The sequence below is a fragment of the Homo sapiens genome, chromosome 1 (assembly GCF_000001405.40).
Source record: "Homo sapiens chromosome 1, GRCh38.p14 Primary Assembly".
Classification (NCBI taxonomy): Eukaryota; Metazoa; Chordata; class Mammalia; order Primates; family Hominidae; genus Homo; species Homo sapiens.
The window spans coordinates 208,011,493-208,021,990 of NC_000001.11; positions in this window are offsets into that span (position 1 = coordinate 208,011,493).

Sequence of the window (10,498 nt, forward strand, 5' to 3'; positions counted from 1 at the left end):
TTTAATAGGGCAAAAATTGTATTTCATTATTGTGTTTTTTTCACATATATTGATTGCTAGTGAGCTTCAACATTTCTTTGTGTGTCTAAATAATCATTAGCATTTCTTCTGCAAATAGTCTATTCTCATCCTTTGCACATTTTTCTTTTGGGTTTAGTGGGGCTTTTTATGTGTATAAGTGCTATTTTGTATTTTAAGAACATTAACTTTTTGATGTTTTTGTTGAAGACATTTTTTCTCAGGTTGATTTTGCTGTTTACTTTATTTTCTATGATGTTTTTTATAGATATGGTTTGAATTTATATGCAGCCAAATATATCTATTCTTTCTTTGTGATTCCTCCAATTGCTTTTATACTTAGAAATTCCATCTCCACACTGAGATAAACATACTAATATTTTATTCTAAGTATTTTATGATTTTTTTTTGAGGTCGGGGGACAGAGTCTTGCTCTGCCGCCCAGGCTAGAGTACAGTGGGGCAGTCCCGTCTCACTGCAGCCTTGACCCCCTGAGCTCCAGTGATCTTCCCACCTCAGCCTCTGGAGTAGCTGGGACTACAGGCCCACACCACCACTCCTGGTTAAGAAGGTTTAGAATTGTTTTTTCTTTTATTTTTGTAGAGGTGATATCTCCCTATGTTGCCCAGGCTGGTCTCAAATTCCTGGGCTCAAGTGATTCTCCTCCCTAGGCCTCCCAAAGTGCTGGGATTACAGGTGTGAGCAACCCCACTGCCCAGTCAGGTTTGATTTTTTCACATTTAATTTTTTAGTTTATTTGGGATTTATTTTGTTCTGTGTTGCATCATGGTAAGGATTTAGACTGATATTTCCCCAAATAGTTAAACATTTATCCCTGAATCACTTATTAAGGAATGCTTTTGGCTGGGCGTGGTGGCTTACGCCTGTAATCCCAATACTTTGGGAGGCCAAGGTGGGTGCAAGGCTTGAGCTCAGGAAATTGAGACCAGCCTGGGCAACATGGTGAAACCCCATCTCTACAAAAAATACAGACATTAGCTGGGCGTGGTGGTGTGCATCCTGTAGTTCTAGCTACGTGGGAGGCTGAGGAGGGAGGATCCCTTGAGCTTGAGAGGCAGAGGTTGCAGTGAGCTGAGATCGTGCCACTGCACTCCAGCCTGGGTGACAGAGTGAGACCCTGTTTAAGAAAAAAAAAAACAAGGCTTCCTTTCCCCATTGGCTTAGATGCTGCCTTTGGCTTACGCTAAATTTTTAAACATATATATACAGTAGACTGTTCTGAGCTGTCTTATTCTGTTCAGTTGGTTCTTCTATTACAATCACACTGTTTTAATTACTGTATCTTTATTCATTCACACATTTAAAAATACAACATATTTGTGTATGAAATATAGCATTTTAATATCTGGCAGAAAAATCTCCCATAGTTACTCTGTTTTTTAGGAGGAAAAAAGACTACTTCTGTTCATGTATTTTCCAGATAAATTTTAGAGTCATGCTGTCTAGAAAAAAAAAATCTCATTTGGGATTTTGTAAAGGATTAAATTAAATATATATCTTAATTCATGAAGCATTTGCATCTTTATACTATTCAGTCCTACCGTTCGGGAAAATGACATGCTACTTTCTTTTCCCCCTTATGTTGTTTTTGCAGCTTTAACTCTTTGATCTAAATGGGATTTTAGTGTGTACTGTGAGATGAGAATCAAAATTAATTCCCTTTCAATTAGTCAATTTTCCCAAACTCCAGTTTTTGCATAACTCACACCTTCTCCAATGACTTATAATGTTTCTTTTATCATTTATTAAGTCCTTATGTATAGGAGGGTCTGTTTCTAGGCCATCTATTTATTCTCATTGATCTGATTACTGTCTGTCTTTCCTAGTACTAGAGGGAAGTGCCACCCCCCTCCAGATGGCTCTCGGAGTCACTATCTGCTTTCTGCAAAACCAGGATTCATTTCGTGAATACAGAGTCAGCTCCTTGGTCAGAGGCTCTGCTTGGAAGCTTTCTAGTGCCTCAAGGCACTCAAATGGAGCAGGTTGATGCCAGGGCTTTGGTTTTAGTTCAGAAAACACCCAGGCCAATGGAGACTGATTCCTGATCCCTGCCACTTTCCTTCTCTCAGTTCAGTATGGCCAGATGCTGGCTGAAAGGGGGTCCCAGACTCCAGACTCCCCAGGCAAGAGTGAGGGCCCAGAAAGCTTCAGAGAGGTGTACAAGATAATAATGCTATACTACAAATCTCTGCATTTCTCAGCTGCCTGCTTTGTGCCAGGCCTGTGATGAGGACATTATATACCTTAGTTCTAACTTTTACCATAACTGCCTGAGCTAATGCTAGCCACATTTTCCACATTAGAAGATGCTCAGAGGGAGTAAGAAACTTACCACATATCACCCGACTACAAAGTGGCTTATTTTTCATCCCAGTTGTGTCCAGTTCCAAAATCCACAATCAATACTTCCGAGCCACTGGTAGTTGACTCAGCCAGAACGACCACCACAGCCCCTCCCCTGGAGAAAATGGTTTAGGCTTGTTGAGCTTTGCTTCGTCTCCAACTCCAGCTCTCGTGGTAACAGAATCTGGTGATGTGAGGACAGAGGTTTGAAGCTGGTCACCTGAGCCTGAGCTCAGTGGCCATCTCTCTACCCAGGGTAGTGGGGTCCATACCACGCTTGGTGGGGGTGGGAGCTCTGCTTCCCTTCCTCACCCCAGACCACCGCACCTTCCTCGTCCCAGTCAGGCAGGCGAGTTTCCTTGTTACCTGCAGATGCTAACTTCTGTGGTGTAGGGGAGAGAGCTTGTGTATGTAGCAGGGTAAGGTGGGGCGGGGTGGTAGGAGGAAGACAGGCAGAAGCCCATTGCTTTAAAAAGGGTTCTGTGGGACTGGCCACCTTCTATCAAAACAGTGGTTGAGAGGGCTGAAACAGCCAGAATCTGAAAATAATAAGCACTCACTTATTGAATATCTACTAATAAAAACCACAATCTCAATTTACTTCTAATCTTGGTCAGTAAATAATGTGCACATGTTTGCTTTTCTACACATATACACAACTGTGTACTCCGTATGGTGGAGTCTCCACGTTTCCACTTGAAGTTACCCCATACTCACATGTTCACATATTGACACAGTTGTCCCACTCAGTTTTTAATGGCCTGTAGTTTTCCATCATGTGAATTCATAAATTAAGAAAACATATTTTAAATGCTGTCTGAAAGGGTCAACATATGAACAGATTTATAGGGAAGGGTCTCGTCGTGGGAGTATAAGGCAGATCCGCTTTGTGGGGAAATTTATCACTTTGGGGGGCTTGGGAAATGAAATAGCACAAAGTATTATTCTTACAGTCTTCCATCTATGCAGACAGAACCTTGGGCTAGGGATCTAGGCACCTGGCTCTGACTTTGACTTTTTCTTTTGTTTACTTTGAGTTTCTTTGTGAGATGCTTTCTTTCCCAGGTTCCCAAATTTTATTTGTGCTGTTCTGATAATCACAGGAGTCACAAAAGCACAGAGATGCAGGGCTCCTCAGAGGTTGAGTGACTTGCCCAAGGTCACAGAGTCAGCCAGTGCCTCTGTGGACATCACCTCCACCAGCTTCCTAGTTTTGGAGAATTAGGTCAGAGATGGAGGGTTTGGTCCTCTGAAGAAAGGCCCGGAGGGAACCTTCATTAAGACCCATGCCCAGCCCAACCTTGAGCCTTCGGCATGTTTTTCCATCTAGGGAGTTGCTGTGTGCCTCTGCTTCTGGATGCTCCATGGGGTCTATTTGACCTTGCTTTATAGAAGGGAGAGGAAGGGCCATGAGGGCCCCCGGAGCCCCGAGGCTGTCCTGTTTCTCACTCACAGGACTCCTTCCTCATGTCTTTACCTTTCCCATCTGTTTGAGCTGGCCCTTCCTTTCAGCTGCTCTTGGAACAGGCCAGAGTCATCACCATGTTGCTATTCTGTGCTGGCAGAGTCTGTGGACTGTTTGACCTGTCGTAATTATCTCACCACCTTGCTCTATTTCTGTCTCAGTTCACAGAAGACTCAAAGCAAACCAAGACACAGGCACAGGGGGCAAGTGTAACCGGGGCAGGGTGCGGCTTGGAACCCTAGGACACTAATTCCAGTTTGACCTGGACACTTCTCGTAATGTGGCCTATATCTCAGCTGTGGTCAGAGGCCCCCTGCCTGACAGGGAGGGTGGTAGACTTTCAGAACCAGGTGGGACCTTAGAGAACCAGTAGCATTCCATGGAGCCGTAGGGTTGTGCAGAGGCATACAGGGCCCAACACAGGGAGTGGGGGCAAGGTCAAGGGAGGCCTGGTGTGGGAAGGGAAGGTGGAGTGAGTAGGGCCTTGCCTTCCCATCTGTTTCCATCAGTGTAACTGCACTTGGATCTGGATTCTGTGTGAGCCTTTCTTTGATACAAAGTTGGAAACTACTGATCTTTTCGAAGTCCCTTCAATTTATGAAGGAGAAAGCTGAAATTGAGCAAAGAAAAAGGCTTTGCCAAGGCCACTCAAGTGGTTTAGTAGCAGATAGGGCTTTAGGAGGAGACAGGCCCAGTGGCAGGGGCCGATTGCTGAGGACATTGACTCAGCAACAGGACCCACTTCTCCAAGAGTCTTGTGGATTTCTGTGTCTTGTCCTAGCTCTGGCTGGGAGGGGCCAGAGGGCCAGTGCTGCTGTCACAGGCTGGCTGTGAGCAGGAAGAGCCATTCTGCTTTGGTCACTATGTGCTCAAACAGGGAACAGCCCTACCCTGAGCCCCAAAGAGCAACGGGCCTTTCTTCATGGCCACTGAATCCACAGCTTGTGAAGATCTGGTCAAATCCTAAGGATGTCGCTGACCTCTGTGTGATTTTAGATTTGTTATATAATCTCTCTGAGCCTCAGTTTCCCCATCTCTAAAATGGGAGTGAATGCCAGTTGTTTCCTCTGGCCTTCATAGGAGACAATCAGATCATGTCTGTGAGGTGCTAACCACAGTGCTGGTTACACAATGAAAGTGCAATAGACACACTAAATCATTGCTACCAGATGAACATCACTGCCAGGGAAGCTCACAAGAGTAAGAGGTCAGGTCCTGGACCTTTCTGCTTAGCACACAGCAGAGCATATAAGTGACTCGCTAAAGATTTAGTTAAATAAACAAATGACCAGGGAGACTCCTTAAGGTGGAAGAAAAACATTTTTGGGGAAATGGCCAAGAGGAGTGACAATGTGTGCTTCCATTCTCCCTCAGCATCCTTACCATTCGAACAGGGAAATGGAGTTGAAATGAAAACCAAGGGCTGCCTCAAATGAGGAGGGGCACGAGCTGGGTTCCCACAGCCACTGAAGCTCAGGGTTCATGAAGTCACCCACATCTCAGCTCTGAAAAGATCCTGTGGCCTTTAAAATCACTCAGGGTCAGTGCCAGGCAGAGGAGAAGTCAGGTACCGTCAGGCTGGGGAGCCTCCCTTCTTACCCTCCAGTGTGTGGCACTGTAGGCTCTTCTGTGGGGCCAGGGGCACTTTTGGGTGCTGCAGCATGCTAGAGGATGATGATAATGATTGTGGCAAAAGGAGAGTTCCAGGTGAGCTTTTCTAAAATGGGTCATGGAAGTTAGGGACACCTGTGATGGCAATTAGAACCTGCAAAATGGAGCCACATGAAGATGGGAGAACCAAAGAGAGAGGAGCCTGGGAGGATGGATCAGGAAGATTGGAGTACTGCCCAATTCAGGAGGATTAAATAACCAGCCATATGTTTTTGTTGTTTACTGGTTTTCTGGTGTTTGCCTCTTAGGTGGGGCTCTTCTAAATGGGCTGGGATAATTCAGACATTAATGATTTCTGGAAGAAAACCAGATGGGGGATGGCTTCCAGATTTTCCCTCTTATTATTTCCCATGATGAGTCCAAGAGTCGTCCACTTCCCTGATCTGGAGCCAGTACCCTCTCTGCCTCTCAAGGGCCCTCCATACCCATTGATGTCTGTTCCTCTTCTTCTTTGGTTACCCAGTAAAGGTTAGGATCGTTCAAAAGCATCTTCTACTCAGAGACTAAGGGCAAAAGAAACCAGACAAGAAATCATCAAAGTGAATAGATTTAAGGATCACAGGCACTTCATTTAGTTTCAGCGTTCGATGAACGGATTGACTGGTCTTTTCCTCCCTGTGATGGTTAATTTTATGTATCAACTTGGCTAGACTACAGTGCCCAGTTTTTTGATCAAATACCAGTCTAGATGTTTCTACGAAGGTATTTTTTAGATGTGATTAATATTTACAATCTGTAGACTTTGAGTAAAGCAGTTCACCCTCTAAAATGTGAGTGGGCCTCATCAACAGTTGAAGACCTTAAGGGAAAAAGACTGAAGTTTCCCGAAGAAGAAATTCTCCCTCTAGACTGCTTTTGTACTCAAGGCTGCATCATCAACTTTTGCAGGAATTTTTAGCCAGCCTGACCTGCAGATTTCAGACTTGCTAGCTCCCATGATTGCATGAGCCAATTCTTTAAAATCTCCACCCCCTTACACACACACACACACACACACACACACACACACACACACACACACACACACCCTATTGGTTTACTGGTTTTGTTTCTCTGGAAAACCCTGACTAATACACTTACCTAAAACCAGCTCAGTGTGGAGGTGCCCAGACTCCTCCTGAGGGGAGATAGGTGAATCCCCCTCTCAGGTCTGGTGAGTGCTCCAGCCCGTTTCCTACTCCACTTCCTTGACTTCTTGCTGGGAATAGTCCTTCTGGGGTCCTTCTGTGCCCTCTGCCTCCAGCCTCTTTGCTCCCCTCTGTTGCTGTTATCCTCTGCCTGTGGGCTGGCCCTGCCCTCTGGCTCTCAGGGTGAAGAACTACCTTTCCTAGTAGGCCCCAAATCCTTTTCAGACCCTTGATCTGGGCATGCTTTCAGGAGGCCATCAACAGACTCTTGTAGCCAACTGAGCCCTGTCTGTGGCCTTAGCACATGGAAATTAGGCTTGATCCACTTCTGTCTGCCACTTCCCATTTACCTATAGCATGTTCACTGGCAGGTTCATAGCTGGTTCTGCCATTGGGTGAAACCTTGATTCATCTTCTATTTTCCTATGTTAGCATCCATGACTAGTCTCCTAAGGACTTAACTCTCAGGCACCAACTTTCATCTCCAAAACTTCTATTAATTCAACTTCTTCCCACAGTCAGATGGAGATGCTCATCAATTCCTGCCTGTAGGTCCTCCTGGGCTGCCTGTAAAAGAAGGATGTATGGTGGCTGGGTGCAGTGGCTGAAGCCTGTAATCCCAGCACTTTGGGAGACCGAGGCGGGCGGATCATGAGGTCAGGAGATCGGGACCATCCTGGCTAACATGGTGAAACCCCGTCTCTACTAAAAATACAAAAAAATACAAAAAATTAGCCGGGCGTGCTGGCGGGTGCCTGTAGTCCCAGCTACTCAGGAGGCTGAGGCAGGAGAATGGCGTGAACCCAGGAGGTGGAGCTTGCAGTGAGCCGAGATCACGCCACAGCACTCCAGCCTGGGTGACACAGCAAGACTCCATCTCAAAAAAAAAAAAAAAAAAAAGAAGGATGTATGGTTCATTCTCTCTCCTGCTCATTTACCTATTGTAATACTTAGTCCATTACATACATTACCTTATTTAACCCATATAAAAACCTTATTGGATGCATATTATTATCCTCATTTTATTGATTTGAAAATTGATGCACAGAGAGGTTATATAACTTGCCCCAGACCATACAGCTTGAGGATGGAATTCAACCCGAGGCAATCGGAATCCAAAGCTTATGCTCTTAGCAGGGGATACATGAAACCTAGCAATTAGAAAGGAGTAGGGGTGAGGAATCAAGATAAATGAGACAGAGACATAAAGCAAAGCCAGGAATAAGATGAATGCAATTACATGCAGTAGAAATTTCTGTGCATGTGCTTTGGTGGGCTGCTCATTTGGCTGCTGACAGGTGGAAGCCTCCTCTGTCTTTCAGCTCACTTGCTGAGCTGAGATGTTTGGCAGCTCGTGGTGTTGATATGATCAAGCGCAGACAATCAGCAGCACCCATCTCCCTAAATTCTCTTGAGTGTCTTATCATGCAGGTTTTACCCTCAAATTGAGGAAAATAGGTCTCTGAGAATTCTACTGACACAGTTTGGCAAAATTATTTTGCATTTGTGGTAAAAATGAGATAGAAATACCCCTAATAAAAGGGATGAATCTTTTTCTTATAGAATAATGATTTGGTATTGGCATTAGAGTGTAAACCCAGGGAAAGCTGCAACTTCAGGACTTAGCTTTTCCCTCCCTTTGTGTTCCTAATAGTACCTAGTCTAGTGTCATGCTCATAGCAAGTGAGGAAGAGATATCAATTGCATTGAACAAACATGACTATTGGTGAATGAGGAAGAGTGTCTCCATAGGATCTTCTTGTTACAAGAGGAAGGATCCATTTCTGGGGTGGACTTCCAAGTATTCAATGGTTCTAGAGCTAATGAAAGGTAGTGTGGAAAGTGCAGTGGAAAAAGCCTGTGCAATGTGAAGTCTGGAATCAGACCTCTGTGGCTCTACCACTTTGTAACTGTGCAGTCTTAAGTAAGTCCCTTAACCTCTCTGAATCTCAGACTAAAAAATGGAAAACTCTTATCATGTGAGCATGAGAAGCCTACAAGGGAGGATGTTCCAGAGCCTGGCATTTGGTAGGTGGTTCCCAAGTTCCATTCATTCCATCATCTGTTTATTCAGAACATACTCAAGGGGCATCTGCTGTGGGCCAGGGTCTGTGCTCTGTTCTGGGAATACGACAGTGAACAAGACAGACCACCTGGTAGCTTCCATCCTCTTCCTTTGCTTCCTTGCCAGAGGATGGTAGTTTCTGCAGCAGGTATTTAATAATAGGGATACCCTAAGTCCAAGTTGTTGAGGGGACAGATGGCGGTGGGGTGAGGGGAGCAGCAAGAAGATTGGAGAAAACTCAGGGAAGTAAGGATCCTGTACTGAGAAACGTCCTCCTCTGTCCAAATTTCCCTGTATCCCAGCCTCTTGTGAAGCCAGGAGCCCAGTCAGGCAGTGACAGAGGCAAGACTCATCTAACTGCTCTGTCCCACATTGGAGCTCACCAGGGCCATATTGTTGCTTTTACTGAGAAAAGACACATTTTTCACTGCTAGACACTCGAGTGCCTCCAGGGTTCTAGGTTTGCATTTCAGAGAGAAGAGGAGGATGGTTTAAAGTTAGTAAAAAGCTCTGGTGCACTCCCCAGGCCCAAGGGTGCACTCCCCAGGCCTGAGGCCCACTGTGTTGTTGAAAATGACACACTAATTACATGCAGACCTCAGCACTGCACTCTTCTCCTCTCCTCCTGACTCCTCATGGTGTTATGTTTGCATTTTTCTCACCCTCAGGACCAGCTTTTGCATCTCTCCATTCCATCTGGGAAGGGTGTGTGTGTGTACATGTGTGCGGTGTGGATGGGGGACCCACAAACACTGTGAACTCAGAGGCTGCTAAGTCGGGACTAACAATCTTCCCAATTATGATCTCTTTGAAGCTGTAAGCACACACTATGTTTACCAACATGCACTTGTTTACATGTTTTGTTTTACAAGTCCCAGGCCCCATTCTCCCTTGTGTGTTGGCTGTCCATGTTAGACTGGAGGCACTCTGAAGGCAGGGCCTGCACCTCATCCTTCAGGAGGCTCTACTCTTAGTGCCTGGTATAAGGTTGAAGACCCAGAACTCTCCTGGTCCCATTATCATGGAAATAGTGAGCAGCAGTTTGCTTGCATGCTCAGTTGAGATGTCAGATGGATACTTGAGTTATTCTCATCTATTTCTCTTACCAGAGAGAAGAAGTGTCACCCACACATGTTGGAACACCAGAACGTAAAATAGATGAAAGTACAGAGGAGGGGAGGAGGCATGACCTCCTAGGGTTAAGGGACCCCTAAGGATTAGGAGTCCTAAGATCAATTCCCTACCTCTCAGGCTTACTGTGGAATTGTGATGTTTCTGCTGCCTCTGGACTTTGTCTGCCCAGCTACTGTTCTCCCCTAGGCAGGGCCCGCCTTCTTGTCTTACCTGCACTGGATCTAAAAGCACACACTATCTGGCATCTTTCCCTTTATTTACCTTTAATCCTTTAACTGAAAATGACCAAAAAAAAGCAACCATAAAACCCCTTCTCAAGGCATGGTGAAACATTCCTTTTTAAGCAAGCCTATGCTTTTCACTACACTAAAAGGTTGATGAGGACAAGGATCATGTCTTTCTCACTTATTATGTTATCCCCCAGCACTTACCACAGTGCCAGGCCGTGCTTAATACGTTTTGTACAAGCACAAGAATGCACTTTGTATACATGAATGTACAAACACATGAAGAACATGTATTAAGCATGGAGGCAGAGGAGGATCTCATTCTTCTGAGACCTCCCTTCTCTCCTGGGAAGGGGTCCTAACTCATGGAGTACACTAGCTGCCTCCAGTTGGAGGAAAGCTGTATTCTGAGGTCTTGGGGCTAGGG